The 20,431-nt window shown below is 45.9% G+C and overlaps 1 annotated feature.

The window, feature by feature from the left end:
• Nucleotides 348-878: an enhancer, noted in NCBI's record as "H3K27ac-H3K4me1 hESC enhancer chr5:169581531-169582061 (GRCh37/hg19 assembly coordinates)". NCBI's record gives its function as "activates a minimal SCP1, AML or CMV promoter by ChIP-STARR-seq in naive H9 embryonic stem cells {active_cell/tissue: H9 hESC(naive)}" and the evidence as "EXISTENCE:reporter gene assay evidence [ECO:0000049][PMID:30033119]".

Genomic DNA, 20,431 nt, shown 5'->3' on the forward strand with positions numbered 1-20,431 from the left:
AGAGCATTAAACTGGGGACAGAGTTCTTGTAAACATAGGTCCCCATGTGACTGTACAAATTGTGTGCCCATGAAGCAGGTGCCACCAGGACCACTGGTCTGAACAGATGTTCTGTCTGGGATTTAGAAGAAGGTAGCCTGAGACCACCAGGCCTGGGTGAGGAAGCAGGAAATGCCTCTGCAGAATTCCCTGTGGCCTTCCTGGAGATCACCTGCTTCCCTTGGTAAGGTATCCAGTTACCACTCCAAAGGTGCTGTTTTCAGAGCGTTCATTCATCAGCTGGATTAGTGCAGCACTTTTTGCTAATGCCTTGCCCGCCCAGCTGACCCTGCCACTGCTTCTGGCAAGTGCAGACTCTGACCAATGGCCTGTGGCTTGGGAACCTGCCTGGAGCCTGCCCAGGCTCCATCTCATACAGGGCCCAGCTGGTGAGTGAAGGGGGCTTTAGTGGCCACCTCGCCAGGAGTCAACAAGCCCAGTGCTTCTGGGAAAGTCACTGTGTCTCGTTGCTAATTCCCCTTTCCCAGAGAGGAGATAAGCCGCCAGATGGAGGTAGAAATGAACAGAGGCCTAACTGTCCTTTTGATGCAAATTGAGGCCTAAATCAAAGGCTCCTCTTCTTGGGGTTAATAGAATGATTTGGTTAAAAGTTTAGAAGCATTTCACCACAACCTCTGTCCTCAGCAACCTGCCCTCAGTATTTGCATATGTTTTGAATGAAAATTGTCAGGACCATGCAAACTAGACAGCTAAATGTGTCTTATCAGATGGCCGTGGGGGGATCTTAGGGGGAACAGGAGAGAAACACAGGTCAGACTGAGGCTCTTGTGTGGCTCTGGACCTCAGTGATAGCATCTGCACTGGCCCAGGCTGATAAGCAGCTTTCTCCATTTCACCTGCACTTCTGTGACTAACAAGCCACCTGCAGAAACTCGGAGACTTGGTGGGACCTGGAGAAAGATAAAGGACTCTTTATGTCCCTCCAGATCCCAGGGAGTTCAAGCATGAGGAGAAGGATGAGGGTGCTGCTGCCCCTAAAAAGGGTTCCCCTCAGTGGATCCATTACTCCATTAATCATTAAGCACTCCATTCAGTCATTTCTTCCTTCAATAGTTCAACTGTCTTTACAAATAATACCTATCTTTAGGGAAAAAAAAATCTGAAAGTAAATACAATCTTTATTTTCTTGTTTATCACATCATATGCATCACAAAACATCTTTGCAGGAAAAATAATTACAATAGAGATTTGCCAAGTGAAAAAAAATCACTCTGAAGCTCCCCTAATTCCATTGCCCAGAGGGTTACCACCATTAACTTTTGGGGCTGTAAGATCTTCCAGACTCACTCCGTGCATTCATACACATGGAACTCTGTTTTACTGTCAAGCACATTGCTTTCTAACTGGTTTCTTTCTTTCTTTTTTTTTTTTTTTTGAGATGGAATCTCACTCCGTTACTAGGTCAGAGTGCAGTGGTGAGATCTCGGCTCACTGCAACTTCTGCCTCCCTGGTTCAAGCAATTCTCCTGCCTCAGCCTCCTGAGTAGCTGGGATTAACAGGCATGCACCACCGCACCTGGCTAATTTTTGTATTTTTAGTAGAGATGGTGTTTCACCATGTTGGCCAGAATGGTCATGATCTCTTGACCTTGGGTTCTACCCACCTCAGCCTCCCAAAGTGCTGAGATTACAGGTGTGAGCCGCTGCACCCGGGCAACTGGTTTCCTTTTACTGCCACTTTCACTAACCGTGGTATTTCTCCATGGGCAGCATTCTTGGCATTTGGGTGTGTAGGACTGTCCCTCACATAGTGACCTCTTACTCATGAATTGCCAGTGTCACATTCAGATTCTTATGGCAACCAGAAGCTCCCCTGCTCCCAGCATTTCTGGACTCAGCCTGGGCTGGGGAGGTTAGCTCAGACCAAATATCTCCTTTCTGCCAGTTGCTCTGCTAGGCCCAGGTCATGCTGAGCAGAGCAAGATGTAGCTGAAAACCAAATAAGTCACGTGTTCCAGCTTGCTGGGGTTTTGTGAAGAAAGCAGCCACCCCTCCAGTCATATAGTTTGCAGGTTGGGATTTGCATTTTGATTTCCAAAGACCCTTGAACAACTTAGCACTGCCCACCGCCCTTCAGAGCTTATTTCCACTTCCTGCCTGCCTATAGGTTCCAAGCTCATTATAACTAGCCTAAATTGCTTTTCGAATGGGAAAACACAGTAAACTTATTTTATACAAAATTTATTTATGAGATATTAACATGCCCAGTACTTGGGCAAGCACTGTGTGAGAGGTAATAGATATGGAAGAAAAATATTCAAATCTGCTTACAAAACAAGGACAATCCATTTTCATTTCAAACTGCTTAATATATTCAAGGGTTAGAGAATAAGGACAAGAAAGCCTATATATGTTTTAGAGGATGATTCTTGTGTCATGGAATTGTTCACGGCAGGCTTCCCGAGATGGTTGATAATGTGATTCAGAGAAGCTTCCACCTACCCCAGGACTGTGAGGTGTGCACATCACCTGTAATAGAAATGATAGTGATGCCATAAATGACACCATCACACTTATCATTAACTTAGTTTCTCTTGTATGTGCGGGCTTCTACACATCCTGATGGCAACGATAATGGCGATGACTTGATGTAATGAGCTTAAGTGAGACATCGTGTGCCTAACATACAGTAAGCATGCAGCAATGGAGAGTTTCAGTGTTTATCTCACTTCTTTCTCATCATAGCCCTTGCAGTAGGTGTTATCTTTCCCGTTTTGTCTGCTAGAGACCAGAGGTCAGTGAGATTCAGACACTGCCATAGATCACAACAGCTACTAGATGGAGGAGCTGGGATTTGAACCTTCCTCCCCTAAAAGCCAGGATGAAGCAGGTTAGAGCTTTGCTGGAGTTGCTTGGCTAAATTAGGGGCTACACCAACCCAACTTTTCTTCTTCATGTTCAAGTTTCTTTGATGGGTTTATTTCTATGGACTTTCCTCAATACTTCCAGAGACTGACTTGCTTTTGTTTGCCATTTCTCAGCCATTTGCTTTGGTTTGAGTGGAAAATCCTCAGCATTGGATCCTTTGCTGTTCAGCTTTAATTCAACCCTAAATTAAAGGCCTTTTAACTTTCACTTGAGTTTCTCAAGCTCTTCCTATTTCTATCTAGATCAAAGCCTAGTTTGTAGTCTGATGGAGCCTGAATATTGAAATCTATCCCCTTGGGCATACCCAGTTACTAAATTTGTTTAAATGTTTTTGAACATTAGTTTTAGAGAAGGAAAAGCCAGAGTTTGCTTTGGACCAAAGACTCCTCACTTACTGGGACTGTCATAATCTTCAAGAGCTTTCATTTATCTCTACAGCATAATTCATAAATCCTTCCTACTTTTCAGAAGAAGGCACATTCAGGCGTTATGGCGGCCCCCACACTGCCTTTGACCCATATGGTCTTTTAAATATATTTAATGAATTGTCATGATTCAAAAATCAAGGGGTTTCATATAACAAAAGAGATTTCCTGCTTCTGCTTGAAAAGGATCTAGACATATCTAGAAGATCTGGAAAGACTAGGCCTGCATTTTGAGCCCCTGAATAACAGTTGCTCCCTATAGATAGCCATGTAGTCCCTACCATGAGCCCTTGGTGTTATATCTAAAAAGTTATCACCAAACCCAATGTCATCTAGATTTTCTTCTATGTTATTTCCTAAGAGTTTTATTGTTTTGCATTTTACATTTAGGTTTATGATCAAGGTTGAGTTAATTTTTGTGAAGAGTATAAGGTTTGCATCTAGATTATTATTATTATTATTTTACATGTGAATATCCACTTTTCTAGCACCATTTGTTGACAAGGCTATCTTTTCTCCCTTGTAGTACCTGTGATCCTTTTGTCAAAGACCAGTTGACTATATTTGTGTGAGTTTATTTCTGTGATCCCCATTTCAGTTCTGTTGATCTATTTGTCTGTGCTTTCACCAATACCACAATGTTATGATCCTTTTCCAGTAAGTCTTGAAGTTGGATAGCGTTAGTTCTCTGAATTTGCTCTTCTCCTTTAATATTGTGTTGGCTATTCTGGGCCTTTTGCTCCTCCATATCAACTTTAAAGTCAGTTTGCTGATACCTGCAAAATAACTTGCTGATCTTTTTTTTAAGACAGAATTTTGCTCTTGTCACCCAGGCTGTAGTGCAATGGCACAATCCCGGCTCACTGCAACCTCTGCCTCCTGGGTTCAAGCGATTCTCCTGCCTCAGCCTCCCGAGTAGCTGAGATTACAGATGCCCACCAGCACACCCAGGTATTTTTGTATTTTTTTTAGTAGAGATGGGGTTTCACCATATTGGCGAGGCTGGTCTCGAACTCTTGACTTCAGATGATCCACCTGCTTCGGCCTCCAAAAGTGCTGGGATTACAGGCATGAGCCACCGTGCCTGGCCAACTTGCTGAAATTTTGTTTGGGATTGCATTGAATCCATAGATCAAATTGGAAATAACTGGTATTTCGACAATATTGGGATGCTCTTTCAATGAACATAGAATATCTCTCTATGTACTTAATGTGTTTTTCCCTGAAGAACCATGAATTCAAATTAAAACAGATTCAAACAGAGCTGATCAGGTGCATATGAATGGGAGGTGGCGAGAAGAGGTGTCCAAGCCCAGCTGATTAAAACTCTGTCCTTGACCAAACTTCGGACAGGCTCCTCTGTGCCCTCTTTTAAACCAGGCCTCATCCTTAGGTCTTGTCTTTGGCCTTCCTGGTCCAACTGTAGCAAAAATCCTGCTAAGTCAGTTTTCCTAGAATCTCCACATGCTTGCTATTTGGACACCTTCACTATCTGTTCAAATTCCTCATTCCCCATCTTTGATGTTTAAGTCTTTGGCCTGCCTTCAGCAGAAATTCTGTTAAGTTGGTTTAGCAAGAATCCCCTATCCCTGATGTCTCCACTTAGTAATTTTCCATTCAATGACCCCTCACTCTGCTCATTGGCTACAAATCCCTCTGTCTTTGCTGTATTTAAGTCTTCCTCACCACGTTAATGTGTCAGAATAATTTTCTTCTCTAACACAGCTCACCAGGACTCTGACCCATCTCTAAGGAATCCTAGGCTACCAGCAACACTGTGCGAAATCTCTGGGTGCTTCCTGCTCTGAGAATCCAAGGGTTTTGGTAGGGAGCCAGGGATGAGATGACTTCATGGCACTTAGAACTTCTGTACACACTTAGAGGTACATTGCTATCTTTTTCTCTCAGGAATTCCACCTGTGGAGTTGGAAGCATTATTATTATTATTTATTTATTTATTTATTTATTTATTTATTTATTTATTTATTTTGAGACAGAGTCTCTCTCTGTCGCCAGGCCAGAGTGCAGTAGTGTGATCTTGGCTCATGTAACCTCTGCCTCCTGGGTTCAAGTGACTCTCCTGCCTTAGCTTCCGGAGTAGCTGGGACTACAGGCACATGCCACCATGCCCAGCTAATTTTTGTGTTTTCAGTAGAGACGGGGTTTCACCATGTTGAAAGCACTATTTTTGTTGTTGCTGTTGCTGTTGTTGTTGTTGTTGTTGAGACACAGTCTTGCTCTGTCGTCCAGACTGGAGAGCCGTGGTGTGATCTCAGCTCATTGCAACCTCTGCCACCTGGGTTGAAGCGATTCTCCTGCCTCAGCCTCCGAAGTAGCTGGGACTACAGGCATGTGTCACCACGCCTGGCTAGTTTTTGTATTTTTAGTAAAGATGGGGTTTCGCCATGTTGGCCAGGCTGGTCTTGAACTCCTGACCTCAGGTGATCTGCCCCCCCACCCCTTGGCCTTTTAAAGTGCTGGGATTACAGGTGTGAGCCACCGTGCCCTGCCTTACAGTTTTACTATTGTAATTGCGATCAGCATTATTCTCATTTTTTGAAGTGAGGACACTGAGACTCAAAAGAACATAACTTGCCCAAGGTCATACAAAGAGGAAGTGGCAGAACCAACACCAGAACTCAGGACTATTACTTAAATTCACATACCATAACCTTTGAGACCCAACCTTGCATCTGGGTAAATATAGCATCGATCTTTTTAAACTTGCTGTTGCTATTTAAAAACATTGCTTTCTATTAAACACTGATATTTTATGGATTAGAATTACAAGGTCCCCCAAATTGTAGAAATTAAAATACAAGCGATTTCAAAAAATAGGTTGGGGATGTTTCTGGCATTTTAAAAAGACAAATATTCAAGCTGATGGATATCCCAAGTACACTGATTTGTCCTTTACAAATTATATGAATGTATTAGATTATCACATGTACTCCAACAAAAAAAGAAAATAGGTTGGATACAGATTACTCCTGGCTCCCCCAAGAAATATTCATTCATTTCCCTTTGCTCCTTAAAGTTCTTCAGTGGAAAATTGTGATAAGCAGTGGATTAAATCAAGTCCATTTTGCAGATGAAAAAAACTGAGGCTCAGAGGTACTGTTTTCATTAAGCATTGTTACATCCATTTAGCTGATACATAGCCTTTAAAAAATCAGAAGCACCATATTATTTATTGGTTTATATTGAATTTAAATCCTCTTTCTAAGTCAATAAATTTTTTTGACATTTCACATGCAAGCACCGATAAATTCTGAGAGTGAAGACTTCCTGCTCTCATAGAGCTTAGATTCCAGAGGCTTAATTGAGTTCCAGATTAGAAAAGGTCTTTGGGCAAAATAAAGGTTTGCTCAACACTCCCTATTACTTCATATTCTGTACTGTACAGCAGTTGTTTTCAAAACGTTGTTCTAGGACCTCTGGGGGCACCAAGACCTTTGCAGAGGATCTGCAGGATCAATGTTATTTTGATAATAATAAGATTTTTTTGCTGTACTGACATTTGCACTAATAGTGCAAAAGCAATGAAAGGTAAAACTGCCAAGGCTTAGCAGGAATCAAGGTGGTGGCACCAAACTGCACTAGTGATCACTGTATTCTTCACCATTCACGCAAATGGGAAAAAAGCTAGTTTCGCTCTAGAATGCCCTTAACAAAGCAGTCAGAGTTCATGTGTTTTTAATATTCTGTGTAATGAAACAGGAAGTGTGCAAAAAGCACTCGTGCTGCATATGAAGTTTCGTTGCATACTTGGCTTGGCTGTAGGCAAAGTACATTTGCCATGACTTGAGTTGCAAGCTGGACTTGAGTTGCAAGCTGGACTTGAGTTGCAAGCTGAACTTGCTACTTCTTTCAGCGGAACATCATTTTTACTTTGAAAGAACAACTGGCAGATGACGATGGTTTTTCAGTCTTGAGTATTCCAGACATATTCTTGAAAATGAAACAAAATAAATTTGCCAACTCAAAAAACCTGACAGAATTTGTTGCATTGACAAAATTAGAGCTTTTGTGCAATATATATATACAGAATTTTGGAAAAATTTTTCTGCCACTGTAAGCTTGTACTTAAAGTCTCCTGATGACATTAGGGGTATTCTTAACTATTTAAAAAAATATATTATACAAGGCAGTGTTTCAAAAAAACTCAGTGCAGCACCACTGATATTTTCTTCTATACTGCAACCAAAGCCACATATTACAATAGATTGAATGCAGACGCCAATGAGAATCCAGCTACCCTCCGGTAATCCAGATGTTTAAAAAGATCCACAAAATGTAAAACAATGTTATTGTTTTGTTTTGGAAAAATCAAGTTATTTTTCATAAAACACTGTCTTAACATGTATCATGTTTATGATGTTTCATATGAATATATTCATATTTTAAAATTTATCAATTTTATTTCTATATAGTAACTATGGATTCGTATAATTCACTTAATAACTCTTTGAGAGCCTCAATAATTTCTAAGAATGTAAAGGGGTCCTGAAACCAAAATATTTGAGAACCACTGCCAACGGTAAAGAAGGGAGGCTTGCATTGCTCCGGTATTGTCCAGCTGTGCCCAGACCCTTTCAGGATTGTAAATGCCTGTCTCTCCGGGCTTAGGCTGTGATGGGGACACCTGGAGGCTCCTTTGCATAGAGTCCCGGCCAAAAACAGATGGCAGACTCAGAAGAGTTCACTCAGGAAAATCTAATGGCCTACGTACTAAAGTCTGGACCAGGCTTAAGGACAGACACCAAGAAAGGTAAGAAGGCACCCAGGTTGTTAATTGTGTGATGCCATTGCCACCCCCCCAAGGACCTGAATGGGCAAAGGAGGGGGTGATCACCTGAACCGAGCCAGGTCTGTAGCTGTAGAATAGTCCTGCAGTGCCGCAACTGTGGCCTTGAATGATGAAGCACCACTGCTATCAACCTGTAGCCTAGAAAATCCTCGGATAATAAATGCACCAAACTCTCTCTCCTCTGGCCCTTCAAGCTCCTTTTGGTGCCACCAGTTGGCTGGACCCAGCCAGAAGCCAGCCTCCTGGGGCTTGAGCAGGATGGGGAAGCAGAGAGAATGTTGTGGACTGAATGGTGTCCCCCCAGATTCATGGGTTGAAGCCCTAACCTCCAATGTGATGGTATTTGGAGGTGAGGCCTTTGGATGATAACTGGGTTTAGTTGAGGTTATGAGGCTGGGATTAGTGCCCTAATGAGAAGAGACACTAGTGGGTGCTCTCTCTGTCATATGAGGGCACCATGAGAAGGCACCATGAGCCAGGAACCTGATCATGCTGGCACCCTGATCTCAGACTTCCAGCCTCCAGAAATGTGAGAAGATGAATGGCTGTTGTTTAAGCCGCTCAGTCTATGGTATTTTGTTCTGGCAGCTGAGATGGTTAATATGTATGGTAAAAATGGGGGCAAGGGACCCACAGAGAACACCTAGCACAGAGGTGAGGTGGTTTACTATAACCTTGAACCACCAACTGGGGTCACAGCAGGTGACGCCTCACAGCTGGTCTGAATGGATCTTGACGGTCAAGGGCCACTGTCCCCAGCTCCATGCACCCTCAGTAACTGCCTCTAGGGGAATGGCTGGCTAGAGGATTCCAAATGATCATGACAATAGCAACAACAACACCTGGCATTTGTAGATCACTTACTCTTTAATATTATCTTATTATCTCACTTACTCTTCACCACAGTCCTATAAAGCAGGAATAATTTTTAGCCCTGTTTTACTATGAGGACACTGAGGCTCAGTGAGGCTGAAACACCACCTTAAGTCAGGAGCCAGATTTCCGACCAAGGCCATCTGGCTCCAGACTCCTTGCTTTTCTACTCTCTACTACCATGACAGCTTCTTTAGCCTTCTTAGTGAGAGGACTGAGTCTGGTCTTCCAAGTAGGGGTTATATATTTAAGTCCATAAACCAAAAGACTCTAGTGTCAAGAATTGTGAAGGATCTAAGATTTTAACCTGCTTTCATGCTAATAATTTGATCTACTTCAGTCTCACGGATGCTGTCAGAAAATACAAGACTCCTGGGTCAGAGACAAAAGACAATTATTCAAAGCACAGCAAGTAGCATGAGTTCATATTTATGTCAGTTTCCCTTGCCCCAATTCCCACAGAATGAAGTGAAAAGGGCCAGGTGACTTTGCACATATAGGTGACAGAGGGTAGTGTGTTCCAGGAGAGGATACCGAGATGAGAGAAACCAAATATTTTATACTGAGCAGTAAGCCTATCTGACCTTCACCCCAGAGGGAGACATTCTGGATAGTAAACAAATCTGTACTTTGCTCTGGAGAAAGACACTGTATCTGTCTCTGTCTTCCAAGGCTGCTCCTTACATAAACATCCTTGAAAAGACAAAGGGAGCCAGCTGGTAAGAGACACAGGAGACCCATGGAGAATTGTCTCCTAATGCTCAGAATTCCTCAGACTTGCACACATCACCTAACTGGATATGTCATCTTGTCCAAGTCCAGGACAACCAAGGTCCTGGGAGCACCTTAGAACAGGGAGCACAGTGGCCTCTTATTCCAGCAGACACCAGGCATGTGGTAGGCACTGCACAATCGCCTCTGGTAACCACCAGAAGTCAATAGCCCTGCAAGGCCTTAAGACTTGAGTATCAGGACCTGGCAGTGATGAGGGTGGGGAGTCAGGGGGAGATGATAGGGAAAGGATTACAAAACAAAAGTGAAAGGCAAAATGAAATGCAAAAATCCAAGTGACGTCACCTGTGTCTTCCTTAATTTGCTCATTTGCTGGATGGGAATAATCCCTACCTCCTAAGGCTGGGTGAGGATTTCCTAAGGTCAAGCATGTAAAATGCGTAGCATGGCTCCTGTAACTACGAGAGCTCCACAAATGCAAACTATATGACAAGTGAGGAACATTAGATGACAGTCATGCTTCGATTTAAGTAAAGTTAATTGTAAAAATATAAACTTCCTAGAGGAAGTTGTTCTTCGTTCCTGCGGCTGTTGTTCTAACAAGTTAATTCCTTTGGTGGATTTCCAGTAAGATCCAATTTGCAAAAAAATGCATTTGGCACCAAATATTTCATAACCCATCTAAATACATACCCTGGGCCAATTTGTGTTGCTGTAGAACCACCCGTCCTTACTTCATGCTATTCGTTGGAGTATAACAGCGCATCTCAAACAAGAATCACCCCCTGGGGTTTGTTAAGACAGATTCTGATTTACTAGGTGTGGGATGATGCCTGAGATTCTGCACTTCTATGAGCTCCCAAGTGATGCCACTTGTTCAGGAACCATACCTTGAGTAGCAAGAGAACATAAAAAAGCCAAAGGAGGAGTGGCAGCCTTTTGCCAGCCACTCTGTGGTTGTCATTAGTGCCTGCCTTTGGGTGGGTGCTTTCTTCTTTAGCCCACGCTCCAGCCCCTTGACTCTTACCTACTGTAGAATCTGCACCACCTCATGGCCCCATGTGTCCTCCACCCCACCACCCAACCCCTGTTCAATTACCCAGAGGAGGCGGGAGGGAGGAGTTTTCCGTCAACTGTTCCCCTCCCCTCTCAGGGCCAAGGGGAGGCTGGGCCACCCGCCTCTGTTTACTATAAACACAAGGAGCTGCTGTTCGGGCTTCCACTAACCCTCTCTCCACCTCCCAGGGCTTCTGTTGGCCCAAAGCTCCTGGAGGCCACCTTTAGCCTCCCTCTCTCCCTAAAGCCCTCGTCTAGGGCTGACCCTGGAGGCTGCCCCAGATCCTCAGAAGGGGAGCTGCAGAGGTCTTAGGATGGATCTGCTGTATCTGAACTGACACAAGTTTTCTTGTGCCATATTGGTGACATCCCTTCCTCCTGCTCTCCCTCCCTCCTGTTCACTTGACTTCTTCTACCTTTCTGTAGTAGTCAACACTCTTAGTTACAAGTGACGGATATACTGCACAAACTAGCATTAGGAGGAAATATAAAAGAATAAAACAGGCTGGGCGCAGTGGCTCACGCCTGTAATCCCAGCACTTTGGGAGGCAGAGGTGGGCGGATCACGAGGTCAGGAGATCGAGACCATCCTGGCTAACATAGTGAAACCCCATCTCTACTAAAAATACAAAAAATTAGCCGGGCCTGGTCGCGGGTGCCTGTAGTCCCAGCTACTTGGGAGGCTGAGGCAGGAGAATGGCGTGAACTTGCAGTGAGCCGAGATCGTGCCACTGCACTCCAGCCTGGGCGACAGAGTGAGATTCTGTCTCAAAAAAAAAAAAAAAAAAAAAAAAGAATAAAACAAAAAACTAGTGGCTTACAAAACCAAGAAGGGGCTTCAGGTTCGGCTAGATCCAGGGGTTCAAATGATATGGTCAATGCTTGCTTTCTCCATCCCACTGTGCTGTAATCATCATCTCCTACCAGATTGCATCTAAGAGTCTTCAGCTCTAATTTTATATTTTCTCAGCCTAGTTAACCTGTTAAAAAAAGGTTCTACCTGAATCAAATGAAACTGTGATGTCCACAACACACTTTCTCTTTCCTTCGGTCCCTCTTTCCACCTCTTATTCCAGTGTAAATAAGGTAAGGTTGCTATCTTTTGTCCTCAAAGATCTTACAGTCTAATGGGGAAGGCATAGGGTATATACCAATAGCTACAACATTCTATTATCAGGACCATGGAAAAAAGTATGTGCAGATTCTACACACTTTTATTGGGTTCCTGGTACATGCCAGTTCTACGCTACCCACTTCCACTTCTGTAACCTGAGCTGACCCACAAGTGTGTGCAGTGCCCGTAGCAGGAGGAGCTGCCAGGGTGCAGCTCATGACAGGGGAATCTCCACTGGGCCATTTCGGCTCACTGAAGCAGTGTCCCAAGCAGGGAGCAAGGAGAACTGGGAAACCCTAGGCACCTCCAGTGGCTCTGCCTTCCCATCCAAGCATGTCCCATCCAAGCAGGGAGATAAGGGGCAGTGCAAGGGGAAGGGAAGGGAGAGGGGGCAATAGGCATACATTGTGAGCACAGCTGGGCATAAAAAGTGATGGGCCAGGACTCACGCTGCACTGCACCCACGCAATATAAAACTCCTAAACTCATGAGCGTCTTTCATGTGGAGACCAAGGAAGGCTCCAGAGAGGTTCATAACCACCCTGAGATTGTATGCAACAGGTCATGTGAGTGTGGAGGGTGCAGTTTTTGGGGAGATGGTTGCTAGCTTCCATCACATTCTCAAAGACATTCACTATACCTTCATGACAGACCCAGAAGCTGACAGTAATGCTCCAACGCTGCTGCCAACCCAGTCCAAGCCACCCTGTAGCTGTCCTACCTTTTCACCTTATCTCCAGGCCTCAATTCAAGGGCCTCATCTCAACCCTATCTGACTCTAAACTCCTCATGCTAGCCTGGTTTCAAACCTAGTTCTGCCTACTAGCTGTGTGATCTCTCTCTCTAAGCCTCAGTTTCCTGATTTGTAAAATGGCCTGGTAATAACACAATCTTGAGAGCAAAGGCCTCATTAAATGGTGGTCATGGTACCCTCCTTCTCTCACCCTCCTGCCAGTCCCATCAGAGAGCTAATAACTTTTATCAGGTGTGGTTTATGTCATAATTCACGTTCTTCTCTTACAGGGATGCTGCAAGGATTTGAGATGATGCTTTTATTAAAGCATCCAGTGCAACACTTGGCAAGAGACAGTGCAAACTCACAGGAAACTTTTTACCTCCTGACTTCATCTCTTACCCCTTTATCTGATTCCTGCCCTGCAAGCTGGGTTTCTGAGTCTTCTAGCCCAAAAGGGCCCAGGGAGGTTTCCTGCCGCCACCCAAGGTGTCCTTCCCCACCCCATCTCCCGACTGACATTGGGACACTGAGACCCCAGTAGTTAGGGGTCCATTGGGCCCCTCTCTGGCCCAGCCAAGTCTCTGACAGACACCAGCATTTCCAAGAAAACCAGTTCACGGGGCTCCATGTAGGAAAAGCAGGCCCTTTCAGGAGCTAGCACTTAGGCAGGATTTCCAAATTTTTTTTCCCCAAATCTTGATGATCTTACATTTAAAACATGTATCACCTTGCTAGTTTCTGGCAGCAGTGCCCAGGCACAGAGATATGGGAACTAGAGCTGCTGGGTCCTTACATTCTCAGCTGAGGGAAGCCTCCGCCCTTCCCACACACTGCTTTGCAGGGCAGCACCCCCAGCGCTTACCCACCAGGGAACCGGGCCTGTTCAGTGCTCTCTGAGCAGCTGTCCCAGATTCCCCCAGAAGGCCAGGAATGGGTAGGCTGAGGTCCGAGGGCCAATTCTCAGAGACAGAGCAAACCCTGCCTGATTCTAGAGGGAGTTGCAGCTCAAACCCCTTGGAGACAGAAGAGGGAAGGAGAATTAAAGCGTAGTAAGTGTGTCTATGGACCAGGTCCTTTGGGAACAATATCTTATTTAAGCCACATAGCGGCCTTGGAATAAAGATCATTATAGCCAATTTGCACCGAAAAAGCAAAAGAAAAAGACCCTGTAAAGTTATCTTATTCCAAGGTCACACCGCTGAAGGTGGCAGAGTCAGGGTTTGACCTAATTCTGCTCACTACTTTCTGGCTGTGCAACCTTGGGTAACATCCTTCCTCTCTCTGGGCTTCAGTTTCTATATCTGTGCAATGTGGCACTAAAAATACCACCTCATGAGATGCTCTGCAGCTTCAGTGAGATAGCCCACGTCAAGCACTTGGCATGGTGCCAGGCATACAACACATTTTTTGAATGAATGAGTGAGTGAAGGAATGAATGATTGGGAGGCAACTCAGCTCCAGCCCCATTTAAAACTGTATTTCATCCATGATTTGTGGAGCTCATATTGACACCAGAGTGTGCCAAGTTTCCCAAGTTTCCATCAGTCTTCATGATATCAGCCTGAGAATTTTTCTTCACTGAAAGAACTTCTCCAACTCCACTAGTGAAAATCCTGTCTGGCCAATGGCCACCGACTCTGAGAGTCTTTGTGGGAACCCAGCAGCTGAATGTAGAGACCTGCCTGACACTCTCATTGCAGAACGTTCCACGTCCTAGCTAGGTGTACCCGTTCTTTAGCTCCTCTAAAAGCACTGCCTATTGCTGGAGGCAAAAGACCAAGCCCCCAGAATAACAGGAGCCCTGAAAATAGCTTCCATTCAGTGTGCCCCCTGAGGACAGACACCACCTTGCCTCACCACTGTGTCTTCAGGTTGCTGTGGGGTGCCTCGCACCCGAGAGATGCTCAATAACTGTTTGTGGAATGAATAGAATCCAAAAAGAGTTGAACATAAATGTGCAGGACTTGCTAATTCTTCTGTGTGCAGGCAACACTGGGGCTTCAGGGGGATGCTGGTGCCCAGCAACAACTTGTGTGTGGCCCTGGGGTCTGTTTCCAGGACGGCGGGATCCCCTGGTCTGTATTTTGTGAAAAGATGAGTTCCCTGGATCCATTTGACTGGGTTTCATTGAAGGACATTTGAAAAAGGAAACTGGGGAAGGCAAATTAGCCTCCCTGGCTTCCTGCAGAGAGCACCTTTTATGAGACTGTCATTTCGAGTTTCCTCTTCCTCTTGTTTGGTTCACACATTCCCACAGCCTCCCTCAGAGAACAGATTGAACCCCTATTTTCCTCATTAAAGATCACATCAGTGCAAGGACATCCTGTCTGGATGGGTAGGAAGTGCCCCAGGAGATGTCTATCGTGCGTCTGGGCCCCACAGGAGCAAGCTTCTGGCTGCCATCTCTTAGGATCTCACAGCCTTTGGACCTTGCAACAGCACCTCTCCCCAGTGTTAAGCAGACCCAGGGCTGATTGCCAGTCACTTCCAGAAGGATGGAGTTCAAAGGGACATCTGGAGCAAACAGACTTCGGGTGGCAGGTGAGCCGCTGGGTGCAGCATGAGCAGGGTCTCCCAGCAGAACAGGACAGGCATCCATTGGAGGGGTTAAGACTTTGAACACTGGGGTATAAAAGTTCAGGGGCCCAAACTTAGCTCCACCACAAACCAGTTGTAAGACTTTGGGCAAGTTATTTAATCTTTTACAACCTCAGTTCCCAAACTACAAAATGAGCCTAGCAATAATGTCTCATCATGATACATTTTTAGATTAAATGAGCCAAAGCCTGTAAGTATCTGGTGCTTGGGAAATGCAAAGTCACACAGCTGCTGGTGGGCACGCATCGCTTGGGCATCATATAATCTGTCTTGCCCACTAGACTGTGAACTACTCGAGGGCAGGAACTCGGGTGACCAAGACAGGGCCTGGCCCGTAGTAGATGCTCATCAGTTATTTGTTGAAGACATGTCAGACAAGGCTGAGTGGAAATGACACTCACTGTTGTAATGTTAATAGTAGTGGTTTATTTTCCTGTCTCCTTAACTAGACTGAGGTCCTAGAGAACACAGATGAGCCTTATTCTTCCACGTATTCCCAGTGCCTAGGACACTCTCAACCTCTCTGAGTCCCTGTTTCCCCCATTTATTCCCCCTGTTTAGAAATAGAAGCCCTACTTGGCAGGGTTTCTGAAGGTAACATGAGTCAACATATGTGAAACACTTTGCATGGTGCCTTGCCTTCGTAAGAGCCCCATTATGACAACTGTGATCATAACTACTTTACATAAAGGCTTCTGACCCAGTGTCCAGGGCTTGCAGGTAAGCTTCCACATACTCCCAGGGTGTGGCCATCTGAGCTGATTCATGGATGAGCTTGGAGACTCCCTACCGTTTACTAAGTGCCAACCTCTTATACACCAAGACCTGCCTGGGCTCCTCTAAGTGGCAAGTAACTTGCCCGTGATCAGACACCTACTAATCAGTAGAGCTGAGATTTGAATGCAAGCATCTGGCTCCACAGCTGCCACGACTGATCTTCACTGTTCAGCTTCCCTAAGGCCTGTTAGTTTCTCAGCCTGAGCACAACTGACCTTGTGGGCCAGATGGTTCTTGGCTGTGGGAGGCTGTCTCATGCACTGTAGGGTGTGTAGCTGCATCCATGCCTCTGCCACTAGATGCCATGACCTCCCCATGCCCCCAGAGTCACAATGACCAAAAATGACTCCAGACACTGACAAACATCCCCTGGGTTGAAAACCACCTTTCCCCTCTCCCTCTCCCAAACCCACAGGAGCCCTCTCCCATGGGCATACCAAGGCCATCGTCTCCTGAGACAGGAGTACCTTGGGAAGAAGCCTGAGCTCTGTCCCAGTTCCACTGATTTGAGAATGACCTGGTGAGTCAACCTCCTCTGTCAGGATCCCTTTTCTCATCAGCAAAGGGCACTAATGTCCACCAAACTGCCCAACTCAGAAATGTGGGCATCACCCTTGACCCTCTCTCTTCCTCACCACCCTCACCTTATTATCTCTCACTCAGTCCTATTGGCACTATCTCCTAATTATTGTTCAAATCCATCCCCTCCATTCTCCCTCCCTCTCCTCTCCTACCTCGGTTCAGGCCGCCGTGTCTCACCTCTGGATCAGCTTCTCAGACAATGTCTGCCTCCAACCCCGCCTCTCAAGTCCAGGGTGGTTTTCCCAAAACACAAATCTGATCACTCCCTACCTTGGGTGTTTTCTGAGAGCATCCTCCACTCCTGAAAGCGTTGAAATGTTGCAAAGCCCAGTTAAACTCTAAGCCCAGGCAGAGCTGGGGATAAGCCTCACTCCAGGCTCTTAGCTCCCTGATCATGAGTTGCCCTGTCTGTCTCTTCTACTGCATGGCACACCCTGTGCAGGCAGGGATGTCTTGGTCCCTGGACCCTCAGTGTGCAGCATGGGATGCACACAGCCAGCACTCAGCAAGCACTCACTGGGTGGACAGATGAATAAATGGATAGATGGATGGAGAGTGGTGCAGGCCTGTGCAGTGCTCTAAGCTAGGGAGGACATCCTGAGCCCCCTGCAAGGGCTCCGGAAATATTTGTGGGGAGACAGATTCCTATCCTCAACTTCAAGGGGTTCTCCACTGTAAGAGGAAGATCAATGCCCTTCCTATATGGGCATTTCACATCCTGAGGCAGGGATGTGCACAGTGAGATGGACAGGATACAGTAGATTATTTGCTATGTGCCTGACAGCTCTCCTCTGAGCCAGACTTTTCTTACAGGAACTAGTTAGAGGAGGGGATCACTTCCCAAAGAACAAGACCCTGGAGACTGGGAGCATCTGACGGACTTTATTTAAAGGAACAGTGACAAGACGTTTCACTGTGTTTACTTGGCAGGTGCAACATCACTCTGTTCAGTGGGTTTTCCCTCTAGGGTGGGGGACAGGTTCATTCCAGCAGAGGGGCTGCTGGGGCTGGCATGGCGATGGCCATTAAGGGCACACAGCACCCTGTTTCCTCATCCTCCCGCAGCACCCTTGCCCTCCCCTGCCTGTCCCTGAGCCTGAGGGAGGGGACCAGCCAGCCAGAACCTGGGGCTGGGGACGGTGACAGCTGCACCTGCCCAGAGTCAACAGGATTTGTTCCCCTGGATTTTCCACACTGGTGGTTCCAAGATCGGGTCTGATTGCCTGCATACCTTTTAAGGCCTGCCTGGGAGCAGAGCAGGGCCTTGGGGAGGCTGTGGGCCTGAGGTGTCTGGAGAGAGCTCTCCTGAAGTTGGCAGGTGGATGTGACTCCCATTTAGCCCCCCTCCCCACCACAGACAGACACATACAAAGACATAATTGGTAGGAGCAAAGGAGCCAGGCCAGCAACAGAGCCTAGACTAGGGACCAGCTGAGGCCAGTCCAGGTGGGGAAAGAAGGGGCACTGCCAGCTTGGTCTTGAGCCAAGGAGATGCTGGCAGAATGAAAATTAGGGCTCCAGCTCATTGGTTCTAGAATTGGAGCCTGGAGCCTTTAAGTGAGGGTGATTCAATAATAACTTCTAAGAGGGCAGGCTCTGGAGTCAACAACTGAGTCCCAACCCCAGTTTCTTCCCTTACTCTGTGTGACCTTGAGCCAGTCCCTTCACTTCTCCAAGCCTCAGCTTCCTCATCTGTAAAATGGGAATTGTTGTGAAGATGAATGAGACAACAGATTAGATGTTCAGCCCAGGACCTGGCATGTTATGGATTGTTTTGTCTTTGCAGTAAGAGATCATCCCTGCGCGCACTCCCCATCTTCACACAGAGTAGGGACAAGGGAGAAGTGGGCAGCCTGGAATGAGCGGCAAGTGGGGAGAACAGAGAACAAGCCACTGCTGGGGCATGTGACCCCAGGAGGAGCTTCGCTTGCCTCCATCATTCCTTGTCCCATGTGAGAGGCGGCTGCAGAGCTATACTGGAGGAGTGGGTAATAGACTCCTCTTTGTCAGTTGTGGTGGGTACAACCGATTACCCAACCAACAGCCACCCTCCCGCAACTCAAAGCACTTCTTCCTTGCAGACAGAGCTCGCTTTCCATCTTAGAAGCTGAAAATGGTAGACGCTGTCTTGCCCAGGCTTCCTTACACATGGGCATGTAATTTATTCATGGAAACAAACAACCTCTTTGTTTCTTTCCCAACAACCTTCCCATGCCAGACACTGACATGGGAATGTGATGCTGGAAGCTGCAGCTGCCACGTTGCAACCATGAGGGGATGAGCCAAGACCACACCAATGTGCAAAGGACCAGAAAGATGGAAGGGATATTCTGGAACTTTCGTAGCTCAGAGTTCTTGTAACGTGGGAGGATAAATGAACTCACTGCTTAAACCACTTCTAGGCAGGCCTTCTGTTATTTGAAGCAAAAAGCATTCCAGCATTTCTAAACTTGAGAAAGACATTTTGAAAAGTTGTGGGTCTGGGACTCTAAAACAGGTGTTCTTAGAGCCTCCCACTGCCTTTCTCTGGCCCTGGTGGTAACTGCAAATCTTAGGAAGTCATGGAAAGTTGCTGGGTCTGAGCCACACCTCACATCCCAGCATCTCAAGCCTCCAGGCAGAAACTGGTGAGTCACTGAGATCTCGGGTGTCGTTCAGTGTGTTTGTCACTCCTTCCATCAACGAAGTAGACTCTGGGGCCTACAGAGTGGCCAGCGCTGGAGAAGGTGATGAGGAGGCAGAGCTAAAAATGCATGTCTCTGCTCATGTGTTCATTCATGTATTTAATTAACACTTACCCAAAACATCAATATCCCCCAAACTTATTTTAATAAAATGTGGTGTTTGCTTTGTCATCCTTCTGAATATGCCCTTCAGGCTTCAATATTCCAAAGTAGTCCATGAATGCAGAAATATTGGGAACCACCAATTTGCGCAAGTCATTAAATCTTTCTGTGTCCCAGTTTCCTTCTCTGAGACAGCAGCTAGTTAAATTTCGTCAGATGGCCTCATTGGCTCTGGCTAAGAATCAATAAGCAGTCATGGTGTTAAGAGCCCTCCCTCAAGAAGTATGCTACCACAGAGGGAGGTCTAAGCTGAGGTCTAGCTTCATCCTTAAGGTCCCGTGTTCTGGAATCCAGCGGACTTGGTTTGGAATACTGACTCTGCCAATTGTTTACAGAGTAAATCTGGACAAATTTGACTTTACTTCTCTGGCCCTCAGTATTCACACGTATGACTGGGAACACACAGCACCCATCTCACAGGGCATTATCAGGATTCACTGCTCTTAGCTATGGTGAACTCTTGGCACAAGCAAACAATAAATAATAGCTATTTTATTCTTGTTTTGTTTTTGTCACTGTTAGGGAATCTCCAGTCGTATTGAAACATCTTCTATGAAAGCCTCAGAAAACCCCCCTGACACAATTTATTTTAACTTAAGAGTTAGACACACTTATACCTTCCAGTAGCGGAGGAAGGAATATCTCCACAATCCAAAGAAACTGTAGGGGAGTCAGTATGTCAGAGCAGAGGGCCCTGTAAACAGCATCTTGATCCTTGGCCCCCTCATTTCACCAACAGGGAAACAGAAGGTCAGAGAGAAGAGCTTGGCCTTGGCCAAGGTCACACAACAGGGGCCCAGATCTCCTAACTTCCCAGGTAATACAATCCTAACACAAAAGCGTCAAGAGTTAGGAATAGACACAATTCGGTTTTCTGGCTGTAAAACATTGGGAAGAGAAGCAGAAGGAGCGGGTGGAGAACACTAAGCCTAACTGGGGGCCAGTCCTTGGGGA

Source organism: Homo sapiens, chromosome 5 (genome assembly GCF_000001405.40).
Source record: "Homo sapiens chromosome 5, GRCh38.p14 Primary Assembly".
NCBI lineage: Eukaryota > Metazoa > Chordata > Mammalia > Primates > Hominidae > Homo > Homo sapiens.